Source organism: Homo sapiens, chromosome 11, assembly GCF_000001405.40.
Source record: "Homo sapiens chromosome 11, GRCh38.p14 Primary Assembly".
In the NCBI taxonomy this organism is placed as follows: domain Eukaryota; kingdom Metazoa; phylum Chordata; class Mammalia; order Primates; family Hominidae; genus Homo; species Homo sapiens.
Genome location: NC_000011.10, coordinates 115,205,259 through 115,225,780, shown reverse-complemented (window position 1 = coordinate 115,225,780; position 20,522 = coordinate 115,205,259). Strand labels below are relative to the sequence as shown.

Below are 20,522 nucleotides of genomic sequence, written 5' to 3'. Positions count from 1 at the left end.
TGCGTTATATGTCATTAAATATCTTACTTTAAGTAAGACAGGGAAAAAAGAGAGGAAGGATAAAAAGAAAGGAAGTGTTGCACCTCTGTCCTTAAAATGGAGTGCTACCATATGGCATAGAAGACAAGGCTTGAGCTGCAACTTGGAATTGCTTTTGTCTTGTGGATTTAAGTCCTAATTAATTGAACCAGGATTTTGCAGTGTTTGTTTGTTAGGACCCTTATTTGTGATACCAGGAGAAATTGTTGTGCCCAATTATGTGAAAAATCAGCCAGATGTGTATGCTGTCATACTTTTAATAATCCTTAAGTTTTTGGTGAGTACAGATATTAATTGTGTAGTATGCATTGAAGTGATTAACATCAATGTAATTTATCATCTGGAGATTTCTGAACATAAATAAATGAGTTGTTTTGTTCAGCAAGGTGTTGACCCCTTCAGAATCAGTGAATTAAAGTCCCCCCCCCTTTTTTATTATAAATATGAAAGGCACCACAATCAGCCAAGTGTTCAGTTATTTGATTTTCTGGGGCATTAGCCGCTCTTGTTTGTGACATTTCCCTGTTGGGTGCTCGTTTGCAAGCTCATTAATAAGGTTTTCTCATAGGAACGTTGCCGGGAATGAAGAACATACAGTAGGTCTCTTAGTTTTCTAGCTTTCATTCTGAGACTCAGCAAGGGTACAGCAGCAGCACACAGTTAAATGTTTAAAACAGAAAATAATTATGCTCCCAAGCTGGAAGAGCTCAAAGCTCTCTTTCCTTAGATGTTATGCAGAGAACAGTTTTGCTTTTTAATGTTCCGAGCTGTATGACCCTAAAATCTTTCAGTGCATTTTTTTCTTGCGAATGTCTGTACAGGTGGTGGTGCCCAAATTTACAACATGGTTGATTATAGCAGAGTGTGATACAATTGTAGCACGGTTAGTAGAGCTTCAGATCTGAGGGAATGTACTCTTGTCAAATAAAAGCCTGTTTAAATGGGAACAGTTCACTGTCTGAGCGTTAAGAGAAAACTGTCTAAATAGCATCAAGGTGGCAACACATAGCGACATAAGCTGGGAATTCAAAGAAAAGCTGTGACCCTCAGTATGGAATTCAGATTGCTTTGCACAAGGGAGGAAAGCCTTCCTCTGGACTGGGGTGAATATGAAGCTCTTGAATTACTGCTGTGTGGCTTCTGCTTTCACCCATCATAGCCTTGCTCTTTAAAATGTTTGGCAAAAATCCTCATTTTTTGAGGGTTTTGTGTTTGTGCATATTTTAAAAAAAGAAAGAAAACTCAGAGATGAGTTTTGAAAAGAAGAATGAAAACAAAGACTCTAGAAATGGGTGCTTGAATGCCATGCCTGCTCTGATTATCATCTGACAGTTAATTGTATACGTGGGCATCATTTTCAAAATGAGTTTTATTGACTGAATGTAGCTAGGTATTTTATAAATCCATAGCCCTGTTCATCCAAGGTCCAGAGAAGGGTAGATTTTTTTTTTTCTTTCATTCCCTCAACTGGAGGAAAATTGGGCATTGAGGAGATGATCAAAACCTGTTCTTTATCTGTGCCAAAATAAATGTTTCTCTGGTATCGATAGTGCCCTGCATTGAAGGAGAGAGGAAAACCTGGAAATCAGAAAATCTTTCCTATTTGGAGTGGAGGATAACACTTAGTTCCCAAGAGCAGCTTCTATGTCAAATCCTCTCCCTCATCAATTCTGTTTCCAGGTTGTATTCTTCAGAGCATAATAGCTGGCGTTTTCAGATTTGGCCTGTTTCTCTCTGATCTCCAGTCTCTCTCTCTCTCTCTCTCTCTTTTTTTTTTTTTTTTAAACGGAATACGCTCTTCCTCCCACTCTCCCTTTTATTTTTTTTTTAAAGCAGTGAATTGAGTTTCAGGGAGGTTATTTTAGTATTTATGATTCCTTATGAGAAATAATCAAGGAATGAAGAACCCCGATTGAAGCTAATTTTTTAACCTATTATTTCTTTGTGTTAACACAGAGTAGTGTTGGTTCCAAGTTCCTGATATTATAAGGACTATAGATTGTTAGTGATACAATCTGCAGTACCAAAAGTGTCAAGAGGCTGAGTAACCAGTATTCAAAATACAAAGAGTGAGTGTTGGGCAAATACATCGTGAGCAAGACTGGAATAACCCTTAAGGGAAAAGCCTTTGCCTTTATACCTGCCTTCTGAATGCATACCCTGCAGAAAGAGGCCTGTTTTACTAAGAACCACCTCCTCTCATCTCACTGACCTTAATGTATTTGTAAAAGATGTGTCTGTGTGGCTGTGGACATTGAATACTTACATAGTGAAACCAGTCTTCTAATGCACATACTTCACTTAATGGTTTTTAACTCAAGGTTAAATTTTGATTGTGTGGAAGGTTAAATAGTTGTGAAGCTGGCATCTAAAAATCTAAAAGGAATGGTCAAACAACATCCTTTCTGATTTCCTGTAAGACACCACTTAGAGACACATCGGAAGTGCTAAATAAATGTATGGTGAAGTGGAAATATGTAAAGCAGAACACCTGGGCTGAACCTCTGATTTGGGCGGCTGGATTGACCTTCCAAAAGAAAAACAAAATTATATTCTGTGATGAGGACTAACGGGAACTCGTGATCTGATTTTATTTATTTTTTAATCAGTAGTAAAGGTGGAAGGAGAAGTCCATGCCCCAATGTTTCTTCACTTTCTCATTCACTTATTCCTTCATTCATTCATCCAGCAACTATGTCTTGAATGCTTACTGTGTGCCAGTCCCTGGCACCGTTCTAGTTACCAAGACTTCAAGAAACAGAACAAAACAAAACAAAAAAACCCCTCTCTTGTTACAGAGGGAAGATTCTTGTACAGAAAATCTTGCTATAGGGATTTTCTTGCCCAGTGTTTGCTTACAAATGATGAGAATTGCTTCCAAGACATGGAAGAATATTCTGTGAGTATGTACCCCCATTTAAAAAGCAGTGGGAACAAAGCTTTCTGCCACCACACCATGGGATCAAATTTGATTCTTTTTTGTAAACAGTAATTCTAATACCCACAAACCTACCTGAAAGTTGCAGCAAGAGAAGACTGCATTCTACTGTGGTATTGGTCTTACGTCAGTCCCACCAGATTTGACTCATCCCACTCACAATCGTTCAGCCCTCTTCAGGAAGCCCAGTTTCAGTACTATGAGTCATAACAACAGATGTAACAGCAGGAGGTTCTTCACCTTGCAAACAAACAAAATAAACGGCAGTGAAAATTATTCATGAATGTATTATGACAATAGAAAGCAAATATTTTGCAAGATGTTCTCTTTAACTCCTCTGAGAGCTCTGTGTGACTCCGTTCATTCACCAATCCCAGTCACCTGGCATTGCTAGACATTGCCCTCCTTTAGTTGCAAAGCTGTCCTCCCCCAACAATTTAGACAGCCATATTGTAGGGGTTGATTCTTGCTTTGAGCTCAAACAGCTTCTAACACTCACCAAATCTCAGGTTAATCTTTGCATTGTCGTTCTACTCCAAACTCCAATAATCCTCCATGATTGACAAAGACTCTTCAGTCAATGCTTCCTCACTTGAATGCACAGGGGCTGACCCAGACCCGCTACCCAGACATTCTGATATCATCTGTGCTCATGCTGCCCTTGAGTTCTCCCTGGTAGGACTTGAAACAATTAGCACTTGATCCACAAGCATCAAATCCCCATACTCCTTGGTGTTTCAGAATATTGGGTGAAATCTAAGTAAGAAACATGAAGAAGAGCCTGTGTCCCAAATGCAGTTGCAGAAACAGATTTGCACTCAAGCCCCTGGACCTAGTTGCATTGAGCACATCAAAGAAAATATGACACCTGCATTTCCTGATTTAGAAATTCTTAGGAAGAGAGGGAAGGTTGTGGGGACTCCAGGGATAATAGGTCTCCCGCTGGCATGTCTCCTGCCAGGGTATGAGGATGCCTTTTCCACTGACTCAGCTCTGCTCCTCTCTGCTACCCTGGAAGGGTGACATCCCAGTCATGAAGAAACTGCAAAGTACCTTTTTCTAAATAAAGGAATGCAAAGACCTGATACGTTAGTGTTTGGACCTACAGAGGAGACTGTGTCTTTTCATTTACATAGGAAACTGAAATACAGGTTCAGAATCTTGAGTTTCATCTTCTGAAAAGATCACAGAATGTGGTGCAAGGTCAGACTGGCATGAAATCAATTGTAATCTGCCAGCAACCCATTCCAACCTCTTTAAGAGTTTCCTTTTATATATTTTTTCCCTTTATAGAGAGAGCAAAGTACATTTAAAGAAAGTCTCATCAAATCAGAATGTCTTTCTAATATTATTTTTTTAATTGGTTGCTACTGTAGTGTGACCTAAAGCCTCCTGGTGTTTAACCCTCTGTGCAACTTTGACTAATGAACAAATTTGTCTGCTATAGCAGTCTTGCTAAATGTCTTTTACAGGGTTTAAAAAAATTCACAGTGTATTATGAAAACCTCAGATCCCTCGACCTAATTGATTGGCTGTTGATGATGCCATGTCTATAACTGTAATGTTCTTTAAGTGTACAGACCTAACTATTTTTCTTATTTTTATATAGCAGTTCCATTTTATAATGACATTAAGCCATTCTGAGTGATACATTTCTGGGCAGTTATTGCACTTGGGTAGAAAGTATCGTCTGGCTTTTGGCCTCATGCCTTACAACACCAACCGAGGCGTAAAATGATCCCCCAGAAAATGTACTAGGCTTTACCTCATTACTTAAAAATAAATCTTGGAGGCTGGTTCTGTTTCAGAAAAGGTTTGGTGGGTTATAACATTTGATTTATGAACATAATTAAAATATAAATGATGAGCTCTGGGCTATTCAATCAGCCATCTGGATTGTTTGGTATTTTGACATATTCATATCGTAGTTAGGCTCTTCAATGGAAAATTTAATGTCCCTTAGTTCTAGAGGTGCCAGTGGAATCCCAGGGTTTCTATTCCACCTGTTGAAAACGCTTAAGTTTCTCTTTCAGGACAAAGGAAGGGGAACAGAATTTATTTTTAAGTTTCCATCACCCAGGGATAGATCTCGGCACATAGACCTTCTATAATATTTGATTCCTAGGCTGGGCGAGAGGATAGCTCATCTGCCCGTGGTCAGATAATATGCCTATAAATACTGCATGTGTCAACAGAGGGGAACATTTTTCTGTATAATGCAGGCAAGACTAACGCTTACCTTTTCAGCCAGCTATTACGGTAACTGTGGCAGCTGTAGCCATAAGTAGATAGTAGATGTTTCTCCAGAACTTAAAGAGTAAATTGGGAAAATCAGTTATCAAAACTGAAGGTGTATTTTTTGTGATTTAGTAAATGGTTTTTAAAATAAATTTTGGGTATAACAAATCCTTAGCTTGTTCTTCCCAATTTATGTGAATAATTGGCAACTGATAAACAGCTCATTAGGAACATAAAAAAGCATTTAACTAAAACTCAGTGGTACTGAAGAAGCAGGGTGGATTAAGTTTTTCAACACTGTCTTTATTATTGATGGAAGTTGAGCATGTAAAATCCTTAGTGCACTATGCTGAAAAATATGCCCTCTCTGTTTGCTTGTAAATTACATTAAGGAAAAAAGAAGAAAAACAAAATCCTTCCACATAGGCCAGCAAGCATTCTGCTTCTTCTTAATTAATGGCCAAAGTCAGCAGTGCATGAAAAACGTAGCCTTTCTGTAGATCAGAGATTAACCTATAAGCAGATGTTACATTTCAGCCCAAATTTTGGGCTTTAAATTTAGCCTCACCCAGAAGGTTCATGGGTAAGAATGATAGAGGTCCCCTAACTAGGAACTCTAGTAAGTGCTGCTGTTTCTGGGTATGAACTGTGAGGTAGCAGGTCTTCTGTTTTCTGTGTGTCCAGTGTCATAACCTTCTTCTTTCATTTTTTTTGTATCTTTTTTAAAAACTAAACTTCACTAACTAGTGTGTGTGTGTTACACGACTACAAACAATAAACCCACACCTGATGCCCAGCAGTTGTAGTTAGCCTAATATGTGGCCTCTGTCTCTGAAAGGGGGTGCCCAGGAGCTCTTGAGCCACCCAGTGCTGGTTCAAGGTCATCCTGTTTATCCTTTACAAGCATTTCTGCTTTTCTTTAATGACTACCTTCCCGACCCAGTTATCAGTATCTGGAAACCTCAACACCATTTTGCTCTTAAACAGTTTCTTTGCCAACGTGTCCAAGAATAGAACTGTGTAACTTGCAAGGGTCAGCTGGAGCTTCTGGGCTTGTTAACTTTACGTTCTCTGGCAAGAGACTTAGCTTCTCAGAAAGCACTACCAATTCTCAGTATGCAGTGCACACTGGTGGGTGAACAAGGGGGCTCTCTTAAAAGGTTTTGAATGCCATGTAATTTTTAGAGACATGAGAGAAAGATTTGTGATAGGAAAGAGACTATAAGAATGCATCTAGAAAGCAGCTATCTCTAGTGAGGACTTCCTTGTGCAGCTTATATAGCTGTGTACAAGATGAGATTGGTTGAGCCTTGCCGTAATATTTCTATCTTCTCCCTTATTCCATAGGATGAATGTTAATGAGCTAACCACAGCTTGTAAAAGGCCAAGGGGCTGTTGTTTAGGTGGTATGATTGTCTGAGAAAGTAAAACTATGGTAATTATTTTGACCTTTCAGCCAACCGATGTCTTGCCCTCTCACATTTATTACTCTTGGGTACATTTCCAAAAATATGCATTTACAGAGCCACAGAATTAAATGAGAAAACCGATTTAGGGATTAATAGCTTGTTAGTTCAGCACTGAAAAAAACGATCTCCTAATTACATTCAGATTTTATTTGTTAATGTATTTGTATGTGTATCTATGTTAATTCCAACTTCTGTAGCTTCCCTCCCTATTCCCTGAACCTCCCATTATTCAGCTCTCATAGCCATATCCCCACACTGACAAATACAGTTTTAAGTAGCTGGTGGAAATGAGAATACTTATATCTCCTTCCTAAGTACCTCACTGCATTAGGAAGCTATACCTGGCTTTAATTATGGATTGCCATTGGAAATGCACTTATGGATCAGAAATCTATCCCAACATACACTTATGGGGCTGTCTCTCTCTCTGTGATCTTGGATGAGCTACTTCAATCTGTGGGTACCAGAGTTCCCATCCCTAAAACTAGGCTTATTCTACCCCCAATGATGGTTCCTAGGGGAGTAGATGCTGAGTAAATGTCAGTATTTTTTCTTTTTAATGTTTACACTGAGATGTCAGAGTTTTCACTGGGAGGGCTTCCAAAATATCCCAGTTGTTTTTTCTTAAAGTCATTCAGTCTGCCTTTCTCATTTGAAAACAAGAACATAGAAGAGGCAAATTTATTAACATGCAGTGTCACAACATATTGTCACATAGTAATATATGATATATGATAAAATGTATCAATTCTGAGCACCACAGATATCTATGGCTTCACCTCAGCATGAAGGCAAATGAGTTTCCTTTAGCTTGAGTGAGTTTGGAGATAAACTTCAGTGTAACAAAATGTATTTCACAGGAAATGTTTGATGTGGCGCAGTTGGCTTATGAATCTCTTATCTATTTGCGGTTCACTCCTTAGAGTTATTAGTCAATTTAATTTGAGCAAATGCCAGGATTACCAACTAATTAGAAGGGTGTTACTGAAGGCATCGGATGGGAGAGAGTAAGTGCTGGTACTGTGGTTTTGAGGCAGTGTGTGAGTCTGATTTTGCCTGATGATATCATTTGCTAAACATTATACTTTGTGTTTTTGTCACACAGATAAGCCTCAAGTGCACATTCAGATGACTTATCCTCTACAAGGCTTAACCCGGGAAGGGGACGCGCTTGAGTTAACATGTGAAGCCATCGGGAAGCCCCAGTAAGTTCTGAAGGCCAAAGTTGGCAGAGGGTCATGCGCAGTAAATGTCACAACACAGACATGTGCATTCACCAGTCCTTGGCCTGTCACCTGTCTCCTGCTGCAAAGGATGGATGGTTTTTCAGGAACTAAAGAATATTCAGTGAGAGTGGAAATAAATATCCATAGTTCTTAATGGTCAGGACTGGGAGAAAAATTAAATGCCCGCTAAGATTGAAATCTCAGCTAATTCTATTTTATTATTATCAACATGATTGTCAGGACTATTTTCTCTCACACACAAAAAAATAATCCTAATAAATTATTGGTGTCCCTACAATCTAATGATATATCTGCCACCTTTTGTGTTAATGTCTAAGCTGCTAGAAAGATGGTTTTAAGACTTACATTAAGCTGCTATGTTTAGGGCCAGCTGTAGGCAAATGAATTTGCCCTACCTTTAATTTTGCATCTTCTTCCCTCAAAGAAAAGTGTCATTCATACTTGACTCCCAGAAATATTTTTGTTAGTAAGGAAAAGCTCAGGAACTTTTCTTAAGGAGGATATATATGCCACTTCATAAGAGAAAAAGAAGAAACAACTAAGACTCTTATTTTATTGAAAGTATAAAGGAGCCACTTGAGTTGCCCTGTGAAATGATCCAAAGTGAATTTGAGGAACTACATATATCATCACTAATACAAGAAAAAAAGCCACACAGTGGTACCATTTTAACTATTATTCAGTTTACTTACTGGGCAGGGGACACTTCTTTAGTGTTTCTAGTAAAGATTGTTTTTAACTGTTCCTTAGTGGGGGAAAGAAAAAAACAAGTTGAGGATTCATGAAATGGAATAATAGGTCAATGTTGGGATTAAGGACGCTCAAACTTTAGTGGTACCCAACAAAAAACAGCATTGAGCTCCCTTTGCTGTCCCCGTAGTATGATTTTGTTTTTTCCCTCAAAGAGTTTTGCTAGCCAGCGTCATCACAGTTTTCATATAAAGAATTCAGAGCATCTTAACAAAGCTTCCCCAGAAATCTCTGGAAAGAAGCCTCCCTACTTTAACTAAGGAATGATCTATGACAAGAGACCAGAAAGCCAAAGGGGGCTCTGCCTGCTGTTGGTTCTCTCTTCTCATTTCAACCCTCCCTATCTTTGCACTTACCTCTCCATGTGCTGGAATTTCCTTCCCTCTGTGCTAACCATGTGGAGTTTTAAATGACCTTTAGGAGCTGGAAAGTGGTCTTGGTTCTGTTTCACTTTCCCTCTGGTGTTTCCAAGTTATTTGGTTTTGAATGCTTCGAGCTTCAGCAGAGTGATCTTTTTCTCGTTTGAGCACTGCCAAAGATTCAGATCTTTCTTTTTGTAAACAGTTTGAATTATTCCCTAATTAGCAGCTTTCTTCCAGAATAATCCAATGGAGTAAGAAAAAAAAATTCTCAGAGGCCTCTTGCCGCTTGCAATACCCGTGCTCGGCCACATTAACCACAGTTACAGTCTATGGCTTGCTAACCTATACTTTGTTTTTGTATTTTTCCCCTGAAGAAGGTACTTCGTTCAATTGAATGTGCCACGGGGACAGTAAATTACATGTTTCCTTCAGGACATTTATGCCAGAGAAGGGATTTGTTTGTTCCTTTCAAATAGGAACCAGTATATGGTTGTGTGAGCAAGCTCACATTACTCTACTGCTACCCCTTCTAGCATGTTACTTATTTATTTTCTCAAGAAATTGCATACAATAAAAATGGTAATTTAACTTGCCATTAAATGTTGTGAAGATTCTCAGCAGTTACCCCTACTGATTGTTTCAGCTGTCAAGCAGCAGGACATTACGTCTGATTGCCAGGCAGGCCCATTTGCCATTGCCTACAAGGAGGACATATGCAGTACTAATTTTTAAATAATTTACTGGGTTGTGATGACAAACCCATGTGTAATTAAAGAAAAATTGTAACTTCACATCCCATTTGAAAATTGGAATGCTACTTGACAGGGCTAACTTGAGGATCCGTTCATCATTAAGCATGGGTCTCTTGTCGTGTCGCTGCTCCTAGAGGCAGCTGTAGGAACTGGAAGGAAGTCACTTGTGTGCTGGATCTCTGTTGTCCTTCCTTCAAAATGAAAGTTTTCAGGCACAATTCTAAATGTGGCCTCAACTTCATAGGAGGTTGAGGGAAGTGCCTTGAAGAATGGAAGTTTTCAAAAGATACTTGGTGTGTATGCATTTTTAGCTTTGGCGAATCTTATGAAATTTGCTTTTTCCTGATGGATACAAATGTGGCACTTTAAATCACTAAAACAAACTTGTCTCTGATGAGCAAATGCCCTGGGCCCTAAGGGATCCATGTGGAATGCATGCCATGGTGATTAGCCTGAGAGCCCTACCCACGAGCTTGGGGAGCTGCAGGTGCACACACAGGGAAAGTTCTCACAATATGCAGGCCTTGGAGAGCCAGTAAAGAAGGCAATTTGCCAAGGAACAGATAGACATGGTGGACTAGGGCATCAGAGACAGGGGTGGCATTCTGGGTAGGGGGATGCAGGTTATGGGGAGGGGTTAAAGGGAAGAGGAAATGATTACATCTTTCCAGAATCAAAGGTGGTTTTTCAAACAGAGGCCCAAGAAAAGCACTATTCAGATATAAAAGTCCATTCCTTTTGGTGAAACTCAAAATCCATCTAAATATCACAAGAGGCTTCTAAACAAGTCTTGGTGTGTTAGTAACCATCAGATGAATGCATGTATCACTAGCCAAGAACTTGATTTCTTTCCTAATTAATGAGATGTTAACAATGGGTGAGGTCTGTCCTGCCTGAGTTGGTGTGAAACCACACAGCGGGGCATAAAAATAGGCACACTGTTTTATTTGTTGATTTGTCGAACATGAATTGGAAATAATGAGACTCCTGCTTGTGGTCTGTTCAAAGTTTTTCAACACCTGATCGTGTTTAAAAGAAAAAAATTGTATACCAAACAGATTTTTGGAGACTTCACAGTTGTAATTCTGTGAACTTAAAATATCTCCAGTAGGTCCTCATTAATTGTGTCACCCTGCATGTGGGTGAGCAGTTTGATGCAATGGGGAATGATAATGTGACTTGTCTTCCTCCCCTTCCCCCTGCAGGCCTGTGATGGTAACTTGGGTGAGAGTCGATGATGAAATGCCTCAACACGCCGTACTGTCTGGGCCCAACCTGTTCATCAATAACCTAAACAAAACAGATAATGGTACATACCGCTGTGAAGCTTCAAACATAGTGGGGAAAGCTCACTCGGATTATATGCTGTATGTATACGGTACGTGAGAAGATAAAATGCTCTTCTACTAGAGTCAGTCACATGGAGCTGCTACTTGTGATTTACTCTCAAAGCTTTTGGTCAAGTTGAAAATCAAAAACCAGTTGGTTTCCTTCTAGAACTTAAAGAAGCCTGGCCTGAGGTGGACCCTAGTGTCTCCACCTGGGATAGTGACTTTTCTTCTCTCCCTCTAATGGTGGGTGTTTCTACTAGATCACAGTCTTTGGTCATGCTGAGAAGGAAAGCTGTGTCCTCAGGCACAAGCCATGGAGATTACGTTAGAAGTAATGACTGAAACATTCAGCCTTACCAATTAGCAGCTTTTCAGCTCAGAAAGTTTATTCCCAGTGGTATTTTACTATGATACCTGGGCTAGCTTTCTCCTGCTTTGATGAGCAGAACTATTCTATTTTCAGCATGAAGCTATTAATTCCAAAAGATGTTGTAAGCCAGTAAATACTCAGAACAAATACAAGGTCCCTTGTAGCTACATGAACCACCTGTAGCTACTGCTTCAGAACAAAAGCTTTTTTAAAAAATGTGTCTGTTTTTTTAATATCATTTTACAGGATTATTAAAACATCATGAATTTTATTCTCTAGTCAACAGATATTTATTGAGCATCTACTACATTTCAGGCATCTTAAACTTACTTCCTGTTTATAACTTACTGTTGATTTTGCACATGGTGAATATTTTCTATTTAGTTGAGATGTGCACCTCCTCTCTAGTTTTATAATATCAAATTAAGTCTCTTCTGTTCAATTGAAGCCTCATATGCCAAAAAATAGCCATGAACTGACATGACAAAGAATGAGTAACCAGAGGCATCGGCATTTCAATGTGTTATAAATATTTGAATGTGTGTGTGTGAAGGGGGTATTTTTTTCTTGATGTTACCAGTGTAAATAATCCAAATATAAGTATATATGAATAAATGTTTAGATACACATAAATTATACCTTTGAAATATCCACACCACAGTGTCTTAGAACCAGGGTACTTTGCTTATGAAGAAAATAGGAGTGGCAGTCTTTTTAATCAAATAGAAGCATGCTTTACACCATATCTGCATGGATATTAAAATATAATCCTTAGCCTATACCTGAGGTTTTTTTCCTAGCATAATGCAAAATTAAAAGATCACATCTAATCACCTTATTTGTAGACTTCTGAAGTATGTTTTATCTTTACGCACTACCAATGTTGTCCGTGGTTGTATTATGTCTGTTCACACATAATAACATTAATTCTCCCAGTAGTTAAGGAAATCCATGTGAAGCAAACAGCTTTTCTACATAGGTGAGAGGGGACACAGCATGGCCCGTTTTCAGCTGGCGATATGCAGAGCCACCTCTTTCCACAGACTGCTCGGCGGGGGTGAAAAGTACATTCCTCCCTTTTTCTGCATGTGCTCTCTTCACACAAGGGCCTGCGCCTCATGGGAGTCCCCGACATTGCTGTTGCCCGGGTTTACTGGCTTTCAGTCCAGCTCTTTACAAACTGCAGGTTATAAAAAGCAGTGACAAATTTCCATTAGTCTGTTATGTGCATCCTTGATTCAGAACACTAAGTTATCTGGATAAACAGTTTTGATTTATTGTACTTACTGCCCCTACATTTCAAGAGAAGAAACATTTTGTGGGTTTGATGGACAGATATATTTGAATAATTTTGGATAGTAGTTTATAGCTAGCATTTATTTAGTGCTCACTTTATTCCATGCCCTATGGTAACGATTTTCCAAGCATGGTCTCCTTTAATCTCCACAATAACACCAGGAGGCAGGCATTATCACGATCCCATTTTACAGATGATAAACTGAAGTTCAGAAAGGTTGTACAGTTTTCCCCAACTTCACCAGGTTTCTAAATGTGTTTTAGAACCAAAATACTTTGGCTCTAAAGTCCACAACAAAGTATGTCTTTCTTTGTATATTCTCTTATTCTCACTGCTTTCCAGTAGAACAATCCCCTTCAATATGAGATGATCCTTTTAGAATTAACTGTCTGGGCCAGAGTGCATTATCTGAAAACCAAGAAATATAGGGATCCACCTGTTAAAGGCAGACACAGCTACATACACATGTCTCCCTAATCCAAGATGGTACACCTATCCTTGTCTAGGGATTTGCTAGATCTGTAATATACTACCTATCTCCCCTAATCAGTCCTAGTAACAATACTTGGGATGACAGATTAGAATATTAGCCTAAGGTATTACTAGTCTACTAACAAAATACTCTAGCAGTTTGGGAAGGTGTTGAGTAGATTTTCTTTCCAAAGCTGATTTGTTGTATTACTACCATAATTTTGGAAGTATTTTATGAACTAAAAGTTAGCAAGCCCCCATAAAGTTTAACTCTCTAGAAGCAACTTCTACACATGAAGAATCTAGCTGGTTAGTGCCTGAGCCCCAACTGATTTTATTCTTTTAGCCTCTACATGTCAAGCACAGCTCATTAACTCCAACTCTGTACTTTCTTAAGTGGTGGCCTCACATTGCTCTTATTGCTAGAAATGATCTAAGCACTGAAGTTATTTTACCTGTTAAAGGAATCTAATTCTTTCAGGTCACTTTAGCCAGATGTGAAGGACAACAGTTGCCCCAGTCGTGATAAAGATAATTGAAAGTGTGTGATTTGCACAAAATGGGAGGGACTGATGACCTTTCTCTGAAGTCTGTGTCTTCATTAGTCTGGTCCACCCCTTGGTTCATAATCATATTTTCAAATCACCTTCAGATCTACTCTTATTGTATTGTGGACATCACACACTTTATGTCAACACTTTTAGAATAGGTGCAGAAATAGGATTATAGGCTGGGCGTGGTGGCTCACGCCTGTAATCTCAGCACTTTGGGAGGCCGAGGTGGGTGGATCACAAGGTCAGGAGTTTGAGACCAGCCTGGCCAATATGGTGAAACCCCGTCTCTACTAAAAAAAAAAAAAAAATACAAAAATTAGCTGGGTGTGGTGGCGCATGCCTGTAGTCCCAGCTACTCGGGAGGCTGAGGCAGAAGAATTGCTTGAACCCGGGAAGCGGAGATTGCAGTGAGCTGAGATCATGCCACTGCACTCCAGCCTGGGCGACAAAGCAAGACTCCGTCTAAAAAAAAAAAAAAAAAAAAAAAGAAATAGGATTATAGTATATCAGGGGAAATCTCCCAGGAACAAATGTTCCTTTTCAGTAGTAGATATAGTAATTGAAGCAAAACAGAAAAATCACATTAACTGACCCTGTGCTGGGCAGCAGGCACCTCTCTGGATATAGTTTAGTTGTGTAGTGGAGGGAGCGGGACGTCTTTAGTGCTGGGCTCAGGGGTCAGTGCACTTGGTTCATTTATATCTATGCTGACACCTGCAGCAGGTGTGTAGGTGCATCCAAATGAGTTTCCAGGTCACAAAATGCTTCCCTACCTGTGGCCTCCATAAAAAGTGTGAAGGAGCAAGACTGAACACATGGCCTGAATCACCGTATTTCTCATTCTGCCTTTCTTTTAAAAAGGTAGTTTAAAATCACTAACTTAACCATTTTTACCTCTTGGAGGAGAATGAGATTTTTTTTAAACGACATCCTTTTTTGGACTCACGTGAGGCTGCTTTAAATGAAAGTGTAAACTGCTTGTATCCCCATCTTAAAGGAACGGAGCCTCCCATTGAACAGAACAGTTGATTCTTCTCTGTTAATTTCATCCAAGTGTGTTTGTGTGAGAGAAGCAATTTGTGAGGAAAATTAAAAGCTCAGATTGTTGATCGATGGTAGATATCATTTTAAGTAGACTTTGCAACCAAGCACCAAAATAATATTTCTATAAACTTTTGGGAAGTTGCACCAAACCCAATAAAGGTGCAGTATATAATTAAAGTTTTGATGTATTAATTAGACAATCTGAGAGCTCACTTGAAGATAAAAGGACACCAGATGTGTCAGGGAGAAAAAGTTGACATGCTTTAGATAAAATTTAAAATCAAAAGCTTTCAAATCGTCTTATGCTCTATTATAGCAGAATGATTGCTTAGTTCAAAGTCTTGCTGACAATTTAACACATTCAGTTTGATCATTTGGGCTTAGAATTTTTTTTTCTCTTTCATATTTGCCCCTCCCTTGTCTCCAAATAATTTTTGAGATGATAGAAGAATATACAGTATATCAAATATCTGACAGAGGGTTCCCTATCAGGTTCCTGGCTTTGAAGGTCGAGTCTCATTTATATTTAGTTCTCTTGTTTACAAGATGGAAAACGTTCTTTCAGTTTTATCACTGTAGTCTACTTAGGTCAAGCTTTTAATATGAGCAAAGGCAACTTATTAATATTTATAAGTTGTAAAATTTATTGACTTTTAAAGAATAAAATCTCAGTAAAATCTCACATGCCTGGAACTTGATATTTAGTGGTGACATTCTCTCTTCTTTGTATTTATTATGAGTAGAGAAGTAGTTTTACTTCCTGCTGGGTTGTATTGATGGAGAATAATGAAGTTAACAGTCACAGAGAGCAAGTGTGCAGGGGCACGCTCATCCTTGGCTGATATGAGCCCCCTAATAGAGCAGCACCACCTCCTCCTCCTCCTTCCTGCCATCTGTAAAAGCTGAAACGAAATGACAACCATTGTACCCTCTTGGTACTGAGTTGATTTAACCTCACCTTTGAAATCTGGTAGGGAAGAGGGGTGTCGTATGTTTTGATTTTTCCTCCCCTCTCTTCACATCTCCTCATCCCTAATTCACTTCATTAATGAAAATTCTCTTTTCTTCTTTTCTCAGCTCTTCCAACTAAGGCTTTGGGATATAATTACAAGACATAAATCTTGCAGGGAAAGAACTTTTGGTTTTAAAGGGGGAAGCCATCAAACAAACATCTCAATGTCCTCATGCCTTTGTTTTGTCATTACTGGTCATTGTTGTGTTCAGCATTGTGGGTTTGATTTTCCTTTTTTTTTCTATCCAGATCCCCCCACAACTATCCCTCCTCCCACAACAACCACCACCACCACCACCACCACCACCACCACCATCCTTACCATCATCACAGGTATGGTATCTTCATTACCATTGAAAATGTCCTGAATGTATATTGTCTTTCTGGTATGTATAAAAAGAAGCCGAAAAGTTCCCTTTAAATCCTTGGAATTTAATCGTTCCTTTATTTTGGAACTCCAACGACATTAGATACTATGTTCTTAAGTTGAATCTTAAGGACCTCAGAAACATCCCAGCATTTAACAGTACGTCAGATATTTTGCAGCTTATGCATAAAAGAATTCTTTTTTAAGCATCACTATTGAAAGCAAAATGCTAGGGAAAATGGCAGCTGGCTACTAGAGAACACGCCTATAGCTTCTGCTTAGACATGTTTGATGAAATGGTAAGTACTGTGGCTTTCAATCTTGTCTCTGTCTTAGTTTCATCTCAGTCCATGTAAGGGAAAATATACACACCTAACTTCAATGTGCCTATTTGGGCCATGCTACTAAATGCATAGTCATCCTTCCTGCTCCAGAGAGTACCCGCTGACAAGTGATACTACCTGTTTGTGTTGCCTAGGTAGTCACAAGAGATCAGAGGGAGTCACTGTCTTTTCCATGCTGAGCACTCATGTGCCCCTCCCTGCCCTCGGTCACATATTGGAAGAGTGGAAGAGGCAGCCACTGTGGTTCTAACTCTGCGGCTTTATCTTTTTGGACTGTCTGAAACTCTTATTCAGCATGAGTTTTACTGTCTCTTGTTTCTGTCACTGAGGGAGGTGGCATGCCATCCAGCCCTTCCTGGCATCCAGTGGCTCTCTCATACTGCTTGATGTGGCTTGTCTGGGAGCCATGGGGTTTCTTCTGCCTACCTAAGTAGGAAAGCTTCTGGCCACACTATGTCCACTTGACATGAAGGATTTCCCTAGATAAGGCCTTCCCAACCTGTGTTTACAGGGACTTAACACAAAAACATGTGAAAGTAATTATTCTGTGAGAAAAAAATATCTCTTGAAAGAGTAACTTTTCCGCTGCATTTTGTTAGCTGGTGAGACTGCAAGGTATCTGAACCGTGTGCCCTGGTACCCACCCCTGTCTCTGGACTTCTTTATGAACACTGAGTATTTGACTCCCCACCCTTCATGGTCAGCTCCTTTTAACACCCTAGATATCATTGCTGTCCTTTTCATTGACATGCTAGAGACATTTCCAATTTTCATGGGAGTCAGTAAGATAGAGATGATGAAAATTCAGAGTGTTCAAAGAAAGAGGAGGCCTCATCAGTTGATAGAATATACAACAGATTGTCTAATCTCAGTTTTCTTCACTTTTCTACCCATTACAGTGGAAAAAAGAACCCTTAAGGAAGCCAGTGCTTCTCAACATTGGTTACAAAACCATCAGTGCCAGCACTTAATTTAAAATCTTCTGAAAATCCATCAGTTGGTTTTCATGTCTCACTCTAAACTCAGCTCCAACCAGGCTGCTTCCTAGATTCTTGTCTGTGTGTGTTTCTGTTTTGGCTCTTTGTTACTTCCTTCTGTAAACTTAAGTAAACTCAGTTTGTTGACCTAGTGAATTGATTCTTTCCATTTTCTATACTATTCACCAGCATATCAAAGATGCTTCTTCCTAACTCTGATTTCCAGAGTAACTGTGCTATCAGCTTTTCATACTAAGAACTAGGTTTTTACCTTTTCACATTTCTTGCCTGCTACCCAGTTCGTAAGCCAAATTAGACTCGTACTCTTGTGAAGTGCCCTTTAGATACTAGTGTAAAATATACTGCGTAATTCTCCATTGCCCTACATATATTAACCCTTTAAGAAAATATATCACCAGTCTATTTTATCTTCGCAGAACTTGCCCAGGTATGAGCCAGCATTTATTACCACTCATTCTAGAAGGTGCCAGTTAGGTAGCTATCCAGGTTTACATTTTAAGGCAGTCGAGACCTTATTCACGTGGTATATAAACAACCACATTTCTCTTTTATATGGAACAACACTTTTCATTTGCGGCTGGCCTTCTCACTAGCTTATGCTTTTTTTTTTTAAGACCTTTCTTAGCACTCGCTGAACTCCTCCCCCTCACAATCAATCTCAGCAACTCAGCAGAGTCGCTTCAGTTCACAGCTCTTAATCCTTCACTCCAGACTAAAGCTAATCTTATGTCCTCAAACAGCTACAACTCACTGTTATCACAGTTCCGACTGCAGAGACTCCATTTAAGAGGAAATTTAAAAAATAAACAATGCTCTATTTCTGTCCACATCAAAGGTACCTCTAACAGAAACTTGTCTTTGCTTCTGTCTCTCTGCTACTGGACTCTCAGCTCAAGGTAATGTAAGATGATCTCATAGATGCACTTTAGCCTCTTGATGTTAGCAGTTGAGTCCTCCCTGCGCACAAAATACATTTGTGGTAATGAATGCCCAGAATCTCACTGGCACACCCAAGAGTAGTTAAACTAAAATTGCTACTAACACAACATTGTAGAATTCGTTGCCTTAATGGATGTGATCTTCTAGGCTTACTGTGTCTTAACAAGCAGTCTTATATATATTTATCTTGCCCAGAAAGTACACTTGTAGAATTTAACATTTGCTCCTTTCTCCAAACAGATTAAAGGTTATGCAGCTGAATGATTCTGTGTCCCATTTTAAAGGTCCAGGCTATCCCCTAGATTTAGATTAGTTCCTAAAAAATCTTCCAGTCTGAATCCTGACAAATGGATAGCTAAATTAATTTCCACTCCTCTTCTCTCTTGCACTGTTTGGTACATTACAGCCACCATTAGCCTTAAAAGCTGCAGCAGCCAAATTCGGTGACAGTAACATAAAGCCTGAGCTTAAAAAAAAAAAAAAAAAAAAAAAAAAAAAAAGAAGTCCACAGTCATCTATTTCTTTTCTGCCAGTCAAATGCAATAACTGAAACCCATTCCCTAGGTCAGGGTTTCATTACAAGAAAAATGTACACATGCAATAGAAAAATATTTTTAAACTCGAGAAGTCATAGTTGATTTCTGATTTCTCTGAAAGGAAGTGTTCCAGTGTTATCTTTTATCTTCCGTAACCAGGATAATCAAATTGTTCCCCTTGTTAGGAAGGCAGACTGACATTCTGTTCTGAGTCGCCTGACTTCCTTGAAACATGTTAAAGCTTCATCGTGGAGACCCTTCAGAGAGAAAAATTATAAGCCAAATCGGACTCTGCTTTGCCCACCCAGAATCATACCCCTCATGGGTGGGAGCACAGGGCGTTTTCTGCCTCCTGCTTACCCTACACGGAGCAGGTCTGGAGAGTTACACGTGAAGGCACACATCTAAATGTGGCCTTATCTAGGGAGAAATTTTTGTAGTCTCTAAAGTACTGAAAGGAATACAAACAGTCCCTGATTTATGATGGTTCATCTTACAATTTTTTGACTTTAGGATGGTCCAAAAGCAATACGTATTCAACAGAAACCGTACCCATACAGCCTTTCACTTTCAGTACAGTATTCAATAAATTCCATAAGATCTTCAACACCTTATAAAATAGGCTTTGTGTTAGATGGTTTTACCCAACTATAGGCTAATGTAAGTGTCCTGTGCATGTTTAAGGGAGGCTATGCTAAGCTGTGATGTTTGGTAGGTTAGGTGTCTCAGATGGATTTCCAGCTTACAATGTTTTCAACTTAGGGTGCGTTGATTGGGACATAGCCCCATCGAAAGTCAAGGAGCATCTGTATTTGATGTCAACTTGCCGTATCAACTTGTTGTGGCTTTAAAACCATTAAGCCATTATAGTACCATTAAATTTTTTTTCCAACTATAAAACAGTTTTAGATTGGGAGCCATTCAGAGCCTCACTATGATTTGCCACGAGGTTCCTTGGAGTCTGTTTTCTTTCCTGTGTATTGATAGTCTGACCATATATTTCTGTTTCAACTATTGCTATTGGCAAGCCCCTGTTCCTTTTTTTTATTGTGTCAAATTGTCCGTGTGGTTTCATTCATGAAGACATATGCTGTCATGTGGAAGCATAAATTGCATAATTTAAATTGTCCCTGGAATCCTTTGTGAAAAAGTGGAGACAGCCAGCCATTACCCCGGGTAAGAGTCCTTCACACAGATTCCTGTCAAAAACTAGAATAGAAGAAAACCCTGATGCCATGCTGGGGTGGCGGGAGGAGGTGGGGGAGTGTGAGTGAGTAGGGAGTGTTTGTTCTGTCTTGTTTTTAACTTTCTTTGTAATTAGTTGACTTTGTGTGTTAGGTGTACATAAACTTACCCATTTCTGTGATAGTATTAGCCCCTGTCTTCCAGTTGGATCAAACTTTTTCCTGTAATCATCTCAGGAAAGCATGTTGTGTTTCCCTTCCTAGTTAGCGTGGCTGTTGT

At 39.3% G+C, this 20,522-nt stretch overlaps 1 protein-coding gene across 13 annotated transcripts in view, besides 2 other annotated features; it reads left to right on the top strand.

Annotated features, from left to right (window-relative positions):
• The window catches only part of CADM1 (cell adhesion molecule 1), a 335,180-nt gene that overhangs the window by 278,635 nt on the left and 36,023 nt on the right, over positions 1-20,522 (top strand). For 7 of the 13 annotated variants that reach the window (NM_014333.4, NM_001301044.2, NM_001301043.2 and 4 more), the window contains exons 6-8: positions 7,790-7,889; positions 11,001-11,173; positions 16,124-16,207. In NM_014333.4, the coding sequence (NP_055148.3) occupies positions 7,790-7,889; positions 11,001-11,173; positions 16,124-16,207 (357 nt within the window). The remainder of the gene's footprint in view (positions 1-7,789; positions 7,890-11,000; positions 11,174-16,123; positions 16,208-20,522) is intronic. The other 6 variants (NM_001098517.2, XM_005271494.4, NM_001301045.2 and 3 more) reach the window with 1 other exon arrangement.
• Positions 2,433-3,241: an enhancer, noted in NCBI's record as "NANOG-H3K27ac hESC enhancer chr11:115093260-115094068 (GRCh37/hg19 assembly coordinates)". NCBI's record gives its function as "activates a minimal SCP1, AML or CMV promoter by ChIP-STARR-seq in naive H9 embryonic stem cells {active_cell/tissue: H9 hESC(naive)}" and the evidence as "EXISTENCE:reporter gene assay evidence [ECO:0000049][PMID:30033119]".
• Positions 15,762-16,961: an enhancer, noted in NCBI's record as "MED14-independent group 3 enhancer chr11:115079540-115080739 (GRCh37/hg19 assembly coordinates)". NCBI's record gives its function as "activates an origin of replication core promoter dependent on BRD2, BRD4, P300/CBP and CDK7 cofactors, and independent of MED14, by STARR-seq in HCT116 cells {active_cell/tissue: HCT116}" and the evidence as "EXISTENCE:reporter gene assay evidence [ECO:0000049][PMID:35650434]".